At 38.1% G+C, this 19,093-nt stretch overlaps 1 protein-coding gene across 49 annotated transcripts in view, besides 1 other annotated feature; it reads right to left on the minus strand.

Moving 5' to 3' along the window:
- Positions 1-19,093, minus strand: part of BAZ2B (bromodomain adjacent to zinc finger domain 2B) — a 397,131-nt gene that overhangs the window by 22,685 nt on the left and 355,353 nt on the right. For all 49 annotated transcript variants that reach the window (XM_047444047.1, XM_047444046.1, XM_047444040.1 and 46 more), the window contains 4 exons: positions 11,712-12,361; positions 11,011-11,284; positions 10,682-10,837; positions 9,490-9,650 (listed from right to left, as the gene is read on the minus strand). In XM_047444047.1, the coding sequence (XP_047300003.1) occupies positions 9,490-9,650; positions 10,682-10,837; positions 11,011-11,284; positions 11,712-12,361 (1,241 nt within the window). The remainder of the gene's footprint in view (positions 1-9,489; positions 9,651-10,681; positions 10,838-11,010; positions 11,285-11,711; positions 12,362-19,093) is intronic.
- Positions 11,193-12,392: an enhancer, noted in NCBI's record as "CDK7 strongly-dependent group 2 enhancer chr2:160205700-160206899 (GRCh37/hg19 assembly coordinates)". NCBI's record gives its function as "activates an origin of replication core promoter dependent on BRD2, BRD4, P300/CBP, MED14 and CDK7 cofactors, with strong dependence on CDK7, by STARR-seq in HCT116 cells {active_cell/tissue: HCT116}" and the evidence as "EXISTENCE:reporter gene assay evidence [ECO:0000049][PMID:35650434]".

Raw genomic sequence — 19,093 nt, forward strand, 5'->3', positions numbered from 1 at the left:
ATAAAAGGTATAAGAACAATCAGCAAAATATTTTGAAGGATTTTAGACCAAAATGCTTATCAGTTTCATGGGATCACTTAAATGGAAATCTCTGGGTAGCCTCTGAGCCTTTGCTCTTCCTTTCTGTTTTCATTCCTTCCATTATTCTTCTGTACAGGTCCTTCTGTGCTCACCATTTTTCCTTTGACTGCAGGGGCTTCAAATATGCTATTACCTTTATCTGTATTGCTTTTCTTTTGCTCCTCTTCACCTAGTTAACGCCACTCATTTCATAGGTCTCATGTTAAGATTCACTTTAACATGAAAGGATCCTGATAGGAATCCTTTCCTGACCTCTTTCAGGAGCTAAGTCCCTCTCTGACAGGTTCTCATAGGACCATGCTCCTTAGCCTTGTCATAAATGTAATTTTATAGTAGTGTAATTATTCGATGAATATTTTTCTACTTCTAAATTCCATGAGAGCAGGGACTATGTCTGCTTTTACTCATTTATCTCCAGTACAGTGCAGGCAAATAATGGGCACTCAATACATGTATGTTGACTGAACAATCAATGATCCTGTAGCTCAAAATCCTTCAAAGATTTCCTATTCTTTAGGAAATGTTCACCATGGCATTGAAGTACCTCAATCTATCCCTTTTCATGTTCCCATTCACACATCTTATGTTGCAGTCAAATTCTATAATTTGCTCTTCCACAAACATGAGATAAGCTTTCCAATCCTCGTGCTCTGCTCATGCTGTTCCCACTTCCTGGGATGATATTGCCTGGTCTCCAATTGTCCAAACCATACTCATTTTCTTAAGTTCCATTTCAACTTCTAAATGAAATCTTCCATATCTCTGCCAGAAGTCAGTATTCTTCTTCTAAATTCATACATTACTCTGTTCTCAACAATCAGCTACTAGATTCTGCATATATGTATATGTCTGATCTCCCTATTATATGACAAGCTTTCTTATGGTAGGAACGACACTTTATCCAATTTTTTGGTGTCCACTGCCTGAGATGCAATAGGTATTTAATAAATGCATATTAAATGAAAAATGGAATAAACTTAAACATCTCTTTAGATATAATTATTTTATCTTATATACTAGGATAAATTCTTCCCCTTTAACTCAGTAGAATATTTATATTTAGAAAGGAAGGATGGACTCTAAAATGGTGTCACAGATACAAGCTGGCTTCAGTTCCTGCCTCCAATGCCCTCCCCGTCCCTGCCGCCAACCACTCAGAAAACCCAAAATAAATATACGGCACTGAGACGATCACCAGCAACATCCCAAAATTCAAACATGAGGATGAGATAGTTCCTGTGGCAAGAGAGAAGTGAAAAAACTCTGAGCAGATGGTAAGAGAACTGGACTTCCATATCCACGATGCTTCTCTACCCTCATTCTGCCAGGAACCAAGCACACAGAAAACTTCCCCCTAACTCACAGTTTCTACACTGAAAAAAGTGAGATCAAGATAGACAACCAACTTATCCACTATGAAAAACAGTGTGAAAGTTCCTCAAAAATCTAAAAATAGAACTACCATACGATCTAGCAATTCCATTAGTGGGTATACATAGAAAAGAAAGAAAATCAATATATGGAAGAGATATTTGTACTCCTATATTTACTGCAGCAATATTCACAATAGCTAAAATATGGAATCAACCTAAATGCCCATCAACAGATGAATGGATAAAGAAAATGCAGTATATTTATAGGATGGAATATTATTCAGTCATAAAGAAGAATGAAATCCTGTTATTTGCAGCAAAATGGATGGACTGGAGGACATTATCCTGGGTGAAATAAGCCAGATACAGAAAGACAAATTATTATATATTCTCACTCATATGTGAGAACTAAAAAAGCTACTCTACTCTAGAATGTAGAGAGTAGATTGGTGGTTACCAGAGGCTGAGAAGGGTAGGGAGAGAGTGAGAGTAAGAGAAATTGACTAATGGGTACAAATATATGGTTTGACAGAAGAAATAGGAGAATACATAAAGACAATTAGACAAAATCTGGAAAACAATTCATGATTTGAATGAGAAAATCAACAGAGACAGATATAAAAAAGAACCAAACAGAAGTTCTAGAGCTAAATAATTCAATGAATAAAGTAAAAAATACAAGACTAGATCAAAAAGACAGACTAGACCAAGGGGAAGAAAGAATTTCTGAAGACAGGTCGTTTGAAGTAACATAGGCAGACCAAGGGGTGGGGGGAAAGAAAGAAAGGAAAACAAAGAAAAAGGAAAAAAAGAAGGAAAAAGCCTATAGGATTTATGGGACACCATTAAGCAAACAAATATTCCTGTGGGTGTTACAGAAGGTGAAGAGAAGGGAAAGGTGAGGAAAAAAAATTTAATGAAATAATAGTAGAAAACTTTCCACATCCTGGGAGAAAGAGGAAAATTCAGGTACAGGAAGTTTGAAGAATCCCAAGAAATTCAACCCAAACAGGTCCTCTTTGAGGCATATTATAGTCACCCTGTAAGAAGTCAAAAGACAAAGAATTCTGAAAGCATTAACAGTGTCAAGTCACATATAAGGAAATCTCCATTAGACTAACATTGGATTTCTCAGCAGAAACCTTGTAGGCCAGGAGAGAATGGGATGATATATTCAAAGTAGTGAGAGAAAAAAAAAACCCTACCAGCCAAGAAAGCCTTCAGAAATGAAGGAGAAAAAGAATCTTTTACAGACTGAGGGAAACTGAAGGAATTCATCACCACTAGGCTAAACATGCAAGAAATGCTCAAGGACTCCTATATCTGAAAGTAAAAAGATGATAACCACCATCACGAAAATATGAAACTATAAAACTCACTGGGAAAGCTAATACACAAAGGAGAAAGGAAATTATTACACACATAATTTTAAAAAGCCTGATGATAAACTGTATCCTTATGGAAAAACACCCAGCCACAAAAATAAATAATAATCAAGGAAGTAAGGAACAAAGGATTATACAAAACAAGAGAAAAGCAATCAATAAAATGACAGGAGTAAGCACTCACCTATAAATAGTAATCTTGAATGTAAATGAATTAAATTTCCCATTTAAAAGACATAGACTGGCTGGATTAAAAAAACAAGGCCCAACTATATGCTGCCTATAAGAAACTCCCCTCACCTGTAAAGACATATGTAGACTGAAAGTGAATGGATGGATAGAAATAGCCCATGCAAATGAAAACCAAAAGTGAAGAGGAATAGTTATACTTATGTCAGATAAAAAAAACAAACAAACAAACTTCAAGTTAAAAGCTGTAAAAAGAGACAAAGAAGGACAATTATATAAATAAAGGGATCAATTCAACAAGAGAATACAATAATTGTAAATATATATGCACTCAATAACAGAGCACTCAATACATAAAGCAAATATTATTAGATCCAAATGTAGAGGTAGATCCTAATATGATAATGGCTGGGGATTTCAACATCCCACTGTCAGCATTGGACAGATTTTCTAGACAGAAAATCAACAAAGTAACATCAAATTTAATCTGCACCATAGACCAAATGGACACGTACAGAACATTTCATCCACCAGCTGCAGAATACACATTATTTTCATCAGCACATGGAACATATGCCAGGACTGACCATATGTTAGGACTCAAATCTCAAAAAATTTTAAAAATTTGAAATCATATCAAGTATCTTCTCTGACTACATGGAAATAAACTATAAATCAGTAACAAGAGGAACATTTAAAACCATACAAATACATGAAATGTAAACAACAGGGTCCTGAACAACCACTGGGTAAAAGAAGAAATTAAGAATGAAATTTAAAAATTCCTTGAAATAAATGAAAACAGAAACACAACATTCCAAAATGTATGGGACACAGCAAAGGCAGTATTAAGAAGCAAGTTTATAGCAATAAATGCCTACATCAATAAAGTAGAAATATTTCAAGTAAACAATCTAGCAATGCCCTTCAAGTAACTGGAAATGCAAGAACAAATCAAACCCCAAATTAGTAGAAGGAAAGAAACAATAAAGATCAGAGCAGAAATAAACCAAATTGAGACAAAAATACAAAAGATCAACAAAACAAAAAGTTACTTTTCCTAACAATAAAATACCTAGGAATGCAGCCAACCAGGGAGGTGAAAGATCTCTACATGGAAATTGCATCACACTGCTCAAAGAAATCAAAGATGATACAGATGGAAAAAATCCCATGGTCATAGATAGGAAGACTAAATATCATTAAAATGGCCATACTGCCCAAAGCAATTTACAGATTCAATGCTATTCCTATAAAACTACCAATGAAATTCTTCTTTGAACTAGAAAAAACTATTGAAAAGTTCATATAGAACCAAAAGAGAGCCCAAATAGCCAAGGCAACTTCACTTCTTGGGCTCAAGCCATTCTCCCACCTCAGCCTCCCAAGTAGCTGGGACTATAGGCACGTGTCACTACGCCCACCTAATTTTTGTATTTTTTGTAGAGATGGGGTTTTGCCATGTTCCCCAGGCTGGTCTCAAACTCCTGAGCTCAAGTGATCCTCTCACCTTGGCCTCCCAAAGTTCTGGGATTACAGGCATGAGCCACTGTGTCCGGCCTCAGCAGCATTTTGATACATGAACAATGAATTCACTAAAAAAGAAATCAAGAAGGCAATCCCATTTACAATAGCTACCAAACAAACAAGCAAAATCAAAAACAAAAATCCAATTCTAGGAGTAAATTTAACCAAAGAAGTGAAAGACCTCTACAAGGAAAACTATAAAACACTGATTAAAAAAAACTGAAGAGGATGAGAGGATACAATCATGCTTATGGATCAGAAGAATCAATATTGTTAAAATGATAATACTACCCAATGCGATCTACAGATTCAACACAATCCCTATCAAAACACTAATGATATTCTTCACAGAAATAAAGAAAAAATATTAAACTTTGTGTGGAATTACAAAAGACTGAATAGCTAAAGCAATCCTGAGTAACAAGAACAAAGCTGGAGGTATCAGACTACTAAGACTTCAAAATAAACTACAAAGCTGTAGTAATCAGAACAGCATGGTACAGGCATAAAAACTGACACATAAACCAATGGGATAGAATAGAAAACCCAGAAATTAATCCACACCTCTACAATCAACTGCTTTTTAACAAAGCTGCCAAGAATGCTCATTGTGAAAAGAATAGTCTCTTCAATAAATGGTGCCAGGAAAACTGGATATCCATATGCAGAGGAATTAAACTAGACCCCCACCTCTTATCCTATACAAAAATAACTCAAAATAGATGAAAGACTTAATGTAAGACCCCAAATGATAAAACTACAGAAGAAACAGGACACTGGTCTGGGAAAATATTTTATATATAAAACTTCAAAAGCACAGGTAACAGAAGCAAAAATAAACAAATGCAACTACATCAAATGAAAAAACTTCTGTACAGCAAAAGAAAAAGTCAACAGAGTGAAAAGAAAATCCTCAAAATGGGCTAAAATATTTGCAAATAATACATCTGAAAGGAGATTAATACCAGGATATACAAGGAACTCAAACATCTCAACAGCAAAAAACCAAACAATCTGATTAAAAATGGGCAAATAATCTGAACAGACATTTCTCAAAAGAAGACATATACATGGCCAACAAATATATGAAAAAATGCTGAACATCACCACTCATCAGAGAAATGCAAATCAAAGCCACAATGAGATATTATCTCACCCCAGTTAGAATGGCTATTATCAAAAAGAAAAAAAACGGCCGGGCGCCGTGGCTCACATCTGTAATCCCAGCACTTTGGGAGGCTGAGGCGGGCAGATCACAAGGTCAGGAGATCAAGACCATCCTGGCTAACATGATGAAATCCCATCTCTACTAAAAATACAAAAAATTAGCTGGGTGTGGTGGTGGGCGCCTGTAGTCTCAGCTACTCGGGAGACTGAGGCAGCAGAATGGCGGGAACCCGGGAGGTGGAGCTTGCAGTGAGCCAAGATCACGCCACTGCACTGCAGAGCCTGGGCGACAGAACAAGACTCCATCTCAAAAAAAAAAAAAAAAAAGAAAAAAAAAAAAATGAGATGCTGGTAAGAATGCATAGAAAAGGGAACTCTTACATACTGTTGGTGGGAATGTAAACTAGTACAGCCACTATGAAGAACAGTATGTAGGTTCCTCAAGAAACTACAAATAGAGCTATCATATGATCCAGCAATCCTACTACTGGGAATTTATCCAAAGGAAAAGAAAATTGTCGTATTGAAAAGACATCTGGCCGGGTGTGGTGGCTCATGCCTGTAATCCCAGCACTTTGGGAGGCTGAGGCGGGTGGATCACCTGAGGTCAGGAGTTCAAGACCAGCCTCAACATGGAGAAACCCCGTCTCTACTAAAAATACAAAATTAGCCAGGCGTGGTGGTGCATGCCTGTAATCCCAGCTACTCAGGAGGCTGAGGCAGGAGAGTTGCTTGAACCTGGGAGGTGGAGGCTGCGGTGAGCTGAGATGGCGCCATTGAACTCCAGCCCGGGCAACAAGAGTGAAACTCCGTCTCAAAAAAAAAAAAAGAAAAGAAAAGACATCTGCATCCCGATGTTTACTGCGGCACTATACACAATAGCCAAAATACAGAATGAATCCAGGTATTCAACAACAGATAAATGGATAAAGAAAATGTGGCATGTATACACAACAGAATGCTATACAACCATAAAAAGAACGAAATATCCTGTCATTAGAGGCAACATGGATGGAACTGGAGGACATTACTTTAAGTGAAGTAAGCCAGGCACACAAAGTTAAACACTGCATGTTCTCATTCATGTGGAAGCTTGAAAAAAAACTGATCTCATAGAAGTAAAAAGTAGACCAGAGGATATACTATAGGCTGGGAAAAGTGGGGGCAGGGAGGGATAAAGAGAGATTTGTTAAAGAATACAAAATTACTGGCTGGGCGCAGTGGCTCACACCTGTAATCCCAGCACTTTCGGAGGCCGAGGTGGGCAGATGATCTGAGGTCGGGAGTTTGAGACCAGCCTGACCAACATGGAGAAACCCTGTCTCTACTAAAAATACAGAAATTAGCTGGGCTTGGTGGGGCATGCCTGTAATCCCAGCTACTCAGGAAGGCTGAGGCAGGAGAATCGCTTGAACCTGGGAGGTGGAGGTTGCTGTGAGCTGAGATCACGCCACTATACTCAAGCCTGGGCAACAAAAGTGAAACTTGGTCTCAAAAAAAAAAAAAGAATACAAAATTATTGGTAGGTAGGAGAAATAAGTTCTCGTGCTCTATACCACTGTACGATGACTATAGTTAATAATATATATTGTTTCAAGTAGCTAAAGGAGGATATTATTCTTAACAGAAAAAAAATGGTAAATGTTTGAGATAATGAATATGCTAATTACTCTGATCTGATCACTATACATTAAATGTACCAAAACATCACCATGTACTCCATGATACTGTACATTATCATTTATGATTTTAAAACAATTTATGAAGCAAATTCTACTTATCTTAGCTACTGATAACACAGCCAAGAACATTTAAGCAGTCAGCAATGTGATAAAGGTCAAAGGACCAAAATCTGAGTATGTCACCAGGAAAATGTTTCAGGCCCACACTCGGACTTTACACATATTTTTTAAAAGCCTGATGATACACTTTCCCAACCAACAGTCAACTAGAATTGGCAAATGAGTTGGGAAAAAGCTGGAGGAAAATAGGGCTTATGGAACCAATCAAATTTAAACCAGCAAGCAGTATCAACTGACAAACTGAGAGGACAACCACAGACTATAGAAAGTAGATGTAGCAGTTTTAAAACCAAAGCACACTAGGATCATTTAGGTTAGGTGCAAAACCTCTTCTCATTTCCTGAGGGAATTATTGTCTGATAATTGATCTTCATACTGATGATTCTGTGCCACCATGATAAGTTAAATCAGGCTTTTTATTTTCAATTTAAGAAGGCAATGAAATGTGTAACATAAGCGATCCAAAAACACATTAAAAAATTCTAGCACTAAATGGAATAATTTTCATTTCTCCAGAAAATAAAATAGTGTGAAAGGGTTCATCTGTTGAAGATGCCAGAAAGATGACAATACACGAGGCACTTTTATACTGTATTATAGAACCTGGAGGAGGAGACATAGTTTACTAGCACAATAGTTTCAATAATAAATTTTTGCTTCCCAACGTTGGTAATTACGTTTGTCACAAGAAAGGGATATTTTATTAGCTCTGGAAAACTACATTTTTTGAGATCCTCAAAAGTGTCCAAATGCCTATGTTAAACTAATTATGAAGCAAAATCTCAATTATTAAATAGGATAGCATTATGCCATAAATTTCTCATTCTGAATAAAGCAAGGCATTTCAAATCAAATTACATGGAGATTAAGGTTTCTAAACCTTTAGTACCTTAGCAGATTCTAGCCAGGCACAGTGGCTCATGCCTGTAATCCCAGTATTTTGGGAGGCCAAAGTGGGTGGATCACTTGAGGTCAGGAGTTTGAGACCAGCCTGGCCAACGTGGCAAAACCCCATCTCTACTAAAAATACAAAAATTAGTGGGGCATCACGGCATGTACTTTGGAAGCCTGAGGCAGGAGAATCACTTGAACCTGGAAGTGGAGGTTGCAGTAAGCCAAGATCACACCACCGTACTCCAGCCTGGGTGACAGCGTGAGACTCCATCTCAAAAACAAAAAACAAAAAAACAAAAAACCCCCAAACCAAAACAGAACCTTAGCAGGTTCTAAACCTTTCATGCTTTTAAGGAGACCTTTATACCCCTCTTTACAAAACCAAAAATTCTTGCACAAGGGTAAAGCTTTCCTTTTGTTTGTCCACTGGAAACCAGTTCTGATCATTACCTGTAACATGATAATACCCAGGAGATAGATGAGGGAATGAATGAATAAATCAGTAAATAAAAACTTTATATATATATATGTAGGGTATGTGTGCATGTGTCAGTATATCATAATGGTCTATAACATATATTTGGATATATCTATATTGGTCTCCAAATTAAACTATATAGTATAAAAGTCTGACATATAACAAGGCTTGTATGTAAGGAAGTTCATGGCCCTATATGAAACACTACAATAGGAGTTTGATAATATTTGTACTAGATCATCACATTCATCTCAGTGAAACTGGAATTCTGCTGGTAGTAAAGAACTGCGCATCGGAAATAATACCTCTGAATACCATTAAGGAGGTAGCAAGATTACTAAAAAGAACATGGGCTCTGGAGTCAGACTTGGTTTAAATGCACATTTAGGCACTTACTATATGACCATTGGCACATTACTTACTCTGAGCCTGGTTCCTTAACAGATGGGGCAAATTAATCCAGGATTGTTTTCAGAATTAAATGAGACAAAATAAAAACATTTAGCACATTAACTAGCATATATTAGGCAAGTAATAAACATTAGTTATCTTCCATTATCCTAAAAACATATTTTATTCCAAGTCGATTTTACCTTCACTTGCAAACTTGCTGATGCAACTCTCCTTTCTAGATCTTCTACCTGTTGAAGGACACTCAAATCCATTTCCATTGCTTGTTCTTCTACTGACCAGTTCTCCACAATATCTCGAGTTACTTGGTTTTCTTCATTTTCATTCAGTTCAATAATAGCAACTACATTTAAAAAGAAATTAATTTAAAAATCCACTTATTAAGCTTTTCCCCACAGAGACCTCTTCCAGAAAGTGAATAAAATTCTAGGAGACCCATGTACATCTAACTTGACATACACAAATGCACTTGTGTATGTACAGGCAGCTTACTCTTAAAAGTAGAAACACGCTAAGAAACACAAAACAATATGCTACGGGTGTAAAAAATTACAAGACAGTAACACCAACTTAAAAAATATAAATAGTTTGTTGAGTAAAACAGAAAAAAATAGTAGTGCATTAAGATATCATTTCTCTCTTGATATCTGTGGGGGATTGGTTCTAGGACCCCCTCTGCCCCCATGAATACCAAAACCTAGAGATGTTCACATCCCTTATATAAAATGGTGTTGGCCAGGAGTGGTGGCTCATGCCCATAATCTTAGCACTTTGGGAAGCTGAGGTGAGAGGATCACTTGAGGCCAGGAGTTCGAGACCAGCCTGGGCAACATAGTGAGGCCCTGTCTCTACAAAAAATAAAAAAAACTAGCTGGGTGTGGGGGCATGTGCCTGTAGTCCCAGCTACTCAGAAGGCTGAGGCAGGAAGATTGCTTGAGCCCAGGACTTTGAGAATGCAGTCAGCTATGACTGCACCACCATTCTCCAGCCTAGGTGACACAGCAAGACTCTCTCACAAAAAAAAAAAAAAAAAAAAAAAAAAGGTGTACTATTTGCATGTAATCTATGTACATCCTCCCATATGCTTCAAGTTATTTCTAGGTTACTTATAGTACCTGAGACAATGTAGATGCTATGGAAATAGTTGTTATACTATATATTATTTAGGGAAGAATGATAAGAAAAAAAAGCCTGTATATGTTCAGTACAGATGCACCCATCTTTCTTTGACTGTTTGATCTGCGATTGGTTGAATCCATAGATGTGGAACCCATGAATATGAAGGACCAATAGACTGTACTAAAATATGGTTTAGAATAATTAATTCTCATAACTAAGCAAGAAAGAAAGCTGAAATATCTTTTAGGTACACACCATCCTTATTCTTGAGGCAGGCTTGAGTAATATAATCCAAATGTTTCTGAATTTGTTTTTGTAATGCCTTTTCTCTTATTCCTCTGAGATGCAGCACTTTGAGCAAAGCTTTTAGGTCCTCTGGGTCAATAATTCTCCACCAACCAAACTGCATTTCTAAGTCAAGATAAATAAGTAGAACTTTTACAAATATTTTGAATAGGAAATGACACCATGGAAATAAAAAGATTTATTAACTATATATAGAACCATCAAATATTCAGTTATAATACAGGAATCCATAATATTGAAATTGAGTAAGTGGCTGTAAACCATCTCAATGTACCTACCTTCTGGAATAGGTTTTGGACTAGGAAAATCTACTGGTTTTGCTACTTCAACAGCTGCAGGTTGAGCTGAAGTGGCCTTTTCATTCTGTGGTACTGGAGATTCACTTTTACTTGAAGCAACATTGGAAGTCAAGAATGAATTACCATTTCCTTCTGATAACCCTAACCCCGATCCTAGACTAGGTACAGATGATGTAAATGGAATATTAGAAGTAACCACACCAGTGGGCCATCCACAAAACTGAAGTCCCATCATAGATACTCCACCTTTCACCTGCAAAAAGAAAACATTTATTAATGAAAAGTAGATTACTCTAAGAAGTTAGGAAAAATGTTTGGAATATGAAATTATTTTTCAAATTCCAAAAAATATTCTTTCATTTATTACAATTACAGGAAAACAAAATACATTAGCAACAAAAATGTTAAATTCCATGTTCTTATTTGTTTCCCAAAGTAATTTTCCTTTCGGATATACCGTTACAGTAATAAGTTAAAAAGTAATTAAAGAAGACTTAGACAAAGTCTAGAAATCAGTAGTTCTAATGAACCTTGGTGACAGAAATTCTGACTTGTTTTAGTTTTCAAACTGTAGCAGGAATATTTTAACTATCTGAGTGAGCCCCCTTGAGCAAAAATCTCCATGGGGTCAAAGATTACATAAAGCAATATAAAAATGAGTTACAGTTAGCAGTACTAACCTGAAGAGGTGATAAAGCAAATGGATTTAAGCCAACAGGATTCTGAGCAGAAGATCCAAGAGGAGCTGGGGTAGGTGAAGGTGACTTAGATGGTGGCTGAGACTGAGGAGTCACCAAAGAAGCAGTTGACATATCGGCATGAGTAAGTGAAGTGTCATCACAGGGTGTTCGTGGCAAAAGACTAAACCATTGTCTATTCTTTTCAGTCAGCGTTTTTAGTAACTGGTCATTGGGGAGAGGACTGTAGAACTTCCCTGGACCACTTGAACCAGTATTAAACAGATTATTAGAGTCTGCCTTTTCCACATTGCTTTGCGTTGCTGTTGACTGAACGCTGCCCAGTGAATGTTTTCCACTGTTCTGATAAGACAACGTGCACCCATTTGCACCAGCATTTGGTTTGGGGGTCATAACCTCTGACTCAGGAGGCATCTTAGCTACTTCCAAAAGCTTGCTTAATTTGGAAAAAGAGCCAGGTTTCTGAAGGAATAGATTTGTGTTATCTTTTTCTTTAAGATCTTCCTTTTGTTCACAGTGATCTGTATTTGAACAATTTAAACTGTCCCCAGAAGTCTCAAACATTTCTTCTTTGATCTGGACACTTTCTGCCTTTTTCAGTTTTTCTCTTTCTTTTGCAATTTCTTCTAGTCCTACAAAATGAAAAAGCATTATGAACATCAGTTACTCCAGATCAAACCAATACTGTAATTAAATTTCATTACTCTTTATCAAATTATATGCATAAATACTTAAACTTTTCTGTATTACCTAATACTCCCTATATTTTCCTTTTTTATAGATTATAGCTTTCACTCACTGGAAAATTAACATATATATATATATATATTTTGTTTGTTGGTTTGTTTACATTTTATTTTGAGATGGACGGAGTCTCACTCTTCTTCCAGGCTGGAGTGCAATGGCGTGAATTCAGCTCACTGCAACCTCTGCCTCCTGGGTTCAAGCGATTCTCCTGCTTCAGCCTCCTGAGTAAATGAGATTACAAAGGTGCACCACCATGCCTGGCTAATTTTTTTGTATTTTTAGTAGAAACAGGGTTTCACCATGTTAGCCAGGCTGGTCTCGAATCTCTGAGGTCAGGCAATCCACCTGCCTTGGCCTCCCAAAGTGCAGGGATAACAGGCATGAGCCACCACTCCCAGCCGGCATTAACATATATTTGTTATAAAAAATTAAAATCCGGTGGGGGGAGGGGGGAGGGATAACATTGGGAGATCTACCTAATGCTAGATGACGAGTTAGTGGGTGCAGCGCACCAGCATGGCACATGTATACATATGTAACTAACCTGCACATTGTGCACATGTACCCTAAAACTTAAAGTATAATAATAATAATAAAAAATTAAAATCCAAAAATATTAAAAGTACAAAAAATATTACAAGCTGTACTACACAGCAAAAATTACCCTTAATATTTTTGTATTAAACTTCTAGGAGTTCTGTATGTGATACATACACACTTAAATCCACATAATTAAGGAAAGAAATTCTACTACATACATAATATTCTAAACTGCTAGAGGGTTTTATTGAATAATACCCTGTAAACACCTTGACATGTCGATAAACATATAACTTCATCATAAATTTTAATGGCAACAGAATGAACTATATCATAACTTAAATAATTTTCTACTGATATATAATAATAGGTCCCAATTATTCACTATTATAAACAATGCTGTAAATAATGACCTTTTATCTGTATTTTTAGACTTGTTCTCCCAATTTACTTCCTTAAAATAAATTCCTAAAAAAAAAACTAAGATGTGTACTTTTCAGAGTTTTTGAAATATACTGTCAAACTGTCCTCTAAAAAGTCTGGATGAATATATACTCATATTAAAGTAACTGAGAGCATCTGTGTGCCTACACCCTCAATGAAACTGGATGCTGTCAGTATTTTTTGTCTTTGCCAATATTTGAGGTGAAAATCTAGATTGCATTATTTCTGGTCATTAGTAAGGCTGAATATCTTTTCATAGGTTTATTGGTATTTCTCTTTTGTAAATTTCTGGTTCATATTTTTGCTCATTGTTTTAAAAATAATTTATAAGAACTATTTTAAAAACATAAATCCACTACTTTATTCAATTTGAAAAGTAATATGCTCACAAGTTAAAATATTCAGTCATGAAGGGTATAAAGTAAAGGCCTTTCTACCTATTCCTTCAATCTCTATTTCTACACTTCAGGGGTAGCCATGGTTAATTACATCAATACACCTTCCCAGAAATAGTATATACGTTATCTATGACTACCATTTTGCATTATTACATAAATGGAATACTACTATTCACTTTTCTGCGGCTTAGAATAAAAACCAAACTCCTAACCAAGGCCTACAACATTCTATAATCTGGTTCCTGAAAACTTCCACCACCTCTGCACCACTCTTGTCCTTGATAACTCTGCTCCTCTTCTCACTTTCTATTTTCAGCTTCTTGAACATGCTAAGTTCTTGCCCTTCTCAGAGCCCTTGATCTTGTTCTTCCCTCTGCATGGGATACTGTTTTGTTGACTGGCTCCTTATCCTTCATGTCTCAGATAATAAACGTTATTTCCTTACGGAGATTTTCTCTGATCACCTTATCTAAAATTAGGACCCCCCATTCATCTTAGAATGTCATTCTATATATTTCCTTTACAGAATTTAACATTAATCATGATGTTTGTTTATTTTTGATTACCTTCCCTCCCACGTACTAGAATTTAAATCAACAAGCTCTGTTTAAAGGCAGAGCAATGTCTATATCTTTTTTTTTTTTTTTCTTAGATAGGGTCTCACTCTGTCACCCAGGCTGGAGTGCAGTGGTGTGATTAGGGCTTACTGCAACCTCGACCTACCAAGCTCAAGTGATTCTCCCAACTCAGCCTCCAAATTAGCTGGGACTACAGGTGCACACCACCATGTCCAAGTAATTTTTGTATTTTTTGTAGAGACGAGGTTTCACTATGTTGCCAGGCTAGTCTCAAACTTCTGAGCTCAAGCCATCCACCTGCAGATTACAGGCATGAGCTTTGGGATTACAGGCATGAGCCACTGTGCCCGGTCAATGTCTGTATCTTGCTATTATTGGATTCCAAATGCTTAGCATGGTGGCCACTACAAAACAGTGGCTCAATAAACCAGGCACAGTGGCATGCACCTGTAGTCCCAGCTACTTGGGAGGCTGAGGTGGAAGGATCGCTTGAGCCCAGGAGTTTGAGTCCAGCATGGGCAACATAGTGAGATCCTGTCTCTAAAGAAAATAAAAGAAGGTGCTCAATAAATATTCCTTGATAACGAAATAAAAGGATGAATTTAATTCTTTCACTAACAGTATTCCTTAGAGAACTTTCCAAAACATGTAACTGTAGCTCATCTGTAGTTCATTTTTGTGATCAGCTGCACAATTTTGTTATATAGGTATATCATAATTTATCCAACCAGTCCTTTATTAATGTTTGACATAGCCCTCATATCCTTCTCTTCAAATTAGTTTCTAGTTGAAATTAAATCCCTATACATCAGATTTATACTTCTGACCAATATAGAGTAACAGGGACTAGATTACCTTCTTGTATGAAACAACCAGAAACAGATAAAATACATGAAACAACAGTTTGCAGGAAACTGAACATCAAATAACAAAGTTGAAAAACAAACTCAGTGAGTCTTGTGATTGCCCCAGCTTACTGCCTTGGGACAGCTTCTAGGATACAACAATAAGGAGGAGTAATCCAGGTGGAGCCTGGCAAACTCCCTAAGATGAGAAGATGCAACTGAAAGCTCAGGGAGACAAAAGTGGCTAGAGTGCTCAGGAGAATATTCTGGAAGGGAGAGAGTTGCACAGAGAACTCCAGTGATCTGCAGAGGAACCCCTCGAGTATTTAGCTAAATACTGATCAGCACATATGTGTGAGGCTTGGTGAAAAAAGTACCTTAAAGGATTAGAGGGGAAAGTGCCAGGTGCTCACACAGGCTGGGAATAGTTCCCGTTCCTACCCACCAGAGTGGGAAACCTCAAGATTCATAGGCATTGGGTAGAGTACTCAGAAGGATCTTGCTTTAGGAGCAGGGGATAATCAGCCCTAGAATGAGCACTGTTCTAGTTCTGCCTGACAAAGTTTAAATGCAAGACTTGAAAGGATCGAACTTTTCCAAGGATGTAACTTAACTGTGCCTTGGTTAAACAAAGGTCAAGAATACAGGAACTTAAAAATATCCAGCACCCAACAAGGTAAAATTCACAATATCTGGCATCCAATCAAAGTTAGCAGGCATGCAAAGAAGAAAAAAAAACAAGACATATACTTTTACCTCCAGTTAGGGACATGTGAAAATAGTCACAAATATTTTCCTCATATACCTGTGTGTTCCAATCCTTTTAACTTTAGATAATGTATTAGTTAGTAGTGGAGTACTAATATTTGTATTCTGAGAACTAAAAAAATTTCAAAAATTGCTGTCATATATTCTAAAACAAATAAGAAACACACCTATTTTTACTAGTTTGAGACTAGAAGATGACTTATTTGTATCTAATATTGAGCTGATGGTAATTTCAAAAGTCATGGCTATCTTTGACTTTTACATTCAAATTGCTTAATCCTAACAGTTAAACCTCTAATTAAAAAAAATATATATATATTTTTTGAGATGGAGTCTTACTCTGTCACCCAGGTAGAGTGCAGTGGCATAATCTCGGTTCACTGCAACCTCCACCTCCCAGGTTCAACTGATTCTCCTGCCTCAGTCTCCCAAGTAGCTGAGACTAGAGGCACGTGCCACCATGACTGGCTAATTTCTGTATTTTCAGTAGAGATGAGGTTTTACCATGGTGGTCAGGCTGGTCTCGAACTCATGACCTCACGTGATCCGCATGCCTCAGCCTCCCAAAGTGCTGGGATTACAGGTGTGAGCCACCGCCTCTGGCTGTAAAATTACTTTTAATCATTTGAAAATATATATGGGATATTTAGTGTAAAGAGATTCTTTAATTTTAAATTGTTTTCTATCTTTTATCTCATATAATCCTCTGGTCTTTCTAGTCCTTACTTCTTTGACATGTGTCAATGACTATAGATAACCATCTTCAAAGCAGAAGAAAGAAGAGGAAGGCAAGTAAGAGAGAAAATTGGAAGTACTCTTCACTTAATTAACTACCCTGGCAGCAACTGCAGTACACAATGACAAAATATCATTTCCTAATTTAAATGAATGCTAAAAGTAGCAAAGTTTGCTACTGGAAAGAAGCTATGTCTTCTTGAGTTTTACCAGAATCACTCTGACCCCTGTTAGTTCACTTAATTGTTCTCACGGGATTCTGGGGGTCAATCATTCTTGCTTCCAGTGAACCATCTTTCCTTTGGCTCCCCTTAGTTGGACTGAAGCAAGCTAAAACTTTCAGAGAGTTTTTACTAAACTCTAAGTGAAAAAGAAAAAGCAAGAAATGTAAATATAGAGTACAGGTTGAAGAGAGGTTCAATCACAAATGGCCCCTTCCTAGGGTTCAAGCACCCCTACCCACTCAGTATGGCTAAACCTTAGGAGTACTCGCAGAGCTTTCCCATCTTCAGTTGACAGTGTTACCACAAACCAGCTCCTAGGAAGCATCTTGAAGATAGTGGAAGGAAGATGCTAGGAAGCATCTTGAGATTATTGTGGAAGAGACTAAAGGAAGCAGATTCTTATTATGTCTATTTAGGATTGTTCCTTTCCAGGCTGATCCAGAAAATTTTAAGATGATAACATAAAACCATTACCCTTAATGAAAGATTCTCACATTTCCATGGTAGCAATTACATTGTATACTTGCACACTTAATGCTTTAACCATATCCTAATACAAAATGGAAGAACAGTATTCATATCACAGTATAATTAACAATAAACTTGTTTCAGTTTCCTTCCAATACTGAATAAATTATCTATAACCTAACATATCCCAAATGGCTTTAAAAAAACAGTGAACTTCTTCCAGGCAAGATGGCTGAATAGGAACAGTTCCGGTCTGCAGCTCCCAGCGAGATCAACACAGAAGGTGGGTGATTTCTGCATTTCCAACTGAGGTACTTGGCTCATCTCATCGGGACTGGTTAGACAGTGGGTGCAGCACACAGAAGGCGGCCGAAGTAGGGTGGGGCATTGCCTCACCCAGGAAGTGCAAGGGGTCCGGGAACTCCCTCTCCTAGCCAAGGGAAGCCATGAGGGGCTGTGCTGTGAAGAATGGTGCACCCTGGCCCAGATACTACGCTTTTCCCACGGTCTTTGTAACCCACAGACCAGGAGATTGCCTCCGGTGCCTATGCCACCAGGGTCCTGGGTTTCAAGCACAAAACTGGGTGGCCATTTGGGCAGACACTGAGCTAGCTGCAAGAGTTTTTTTTCATACCCCAGTGGTGCCTGGAGTGCCAGCGAGACAGAACCATTCACTCCCCTGGAAAGGGGGCTGAAGCCAGGAAGCCAACTGGTCTAGCTCGGTGGATCCCACCCTCACAGAGTCTAGCAAGCTAAGATCCACTGGCTTGAAATCCTCACTGCAAGCACAGCAGTCTGAAGTCGACGTGGGATGCTTGAGCTTGGGTGTGGGAAGGGGTGTCCGCCATTACAGAGGCTTGGGTAGGCCGTTTTCCCCTCACAGTGTAAATAAAGCTGCCAGGAAGTTCAAACTGGGCGGAGCCCTCTGCAGCTCAGCAAAGCCGCTGTAGCCAGACTGCCTCTCTAGATTTCTCCTCTCTGGACAGGGCATCTCTTAAAGAAAGACAGCAGCCCCAGTCAGGGGCTTATAGATCAAACTCCCATCTCCCTGGGGGAAGATGCAGCTGTGGGCACAGCTTCAGCAGACTTAAACGTTCCTGCCTGGTGGCTCTGAAGAGAGCAGCAGATCTCCCAGCACAGTAGTCAAGCTCTGCTAAGGGACAGACTGCCTCCTCAGTTGAGTCCCTGACCCCCGTGCCTCCTGACTGGGAGACACCTCCCAGCAGGGGTCGACAGACACCTCATATGGTAGAGCTCTGGCTGGCATCTGGTGGGTGCCCCTGTGGGACGAAGGTTCCAGAGGAAGGAACAGGCAGCAATCTTTGCTGTTCTGCAGCCTCCGCTGGTGATAACAGGCAAACAAGGGTCTGGAGTGGACCTCCAGCAAACTCCAGCAGACCTGCAGCAGAGGGGCCTGTTAGAAGGAAAACTAATGAACAGAAAGGAATAGCATCAACATCAACATAAAGGACATCCACACAGAAACTCCATCCGAAGCTGACCAACATCAAAGACCAAAGGTAGATAAATCCATGAAGATGAAGAAAAACGAACGCAAAAAGGCTAAAAATTCCCAAAACCAGAATGCCTCTTCTCCTCCAAAGGATCACAACTCCT

This window comes from Homo sapiens, chromosome 2 (assembly GCF_000001405.40).
Source record: "Homo sapiens chromosome 2, GRCh38.p14 Primary Assembly".
NCBI lineage: Eukaryota > Metazoa > Chordata > Mammalia > Primates > Hominidae > Homo > Homo sapiens.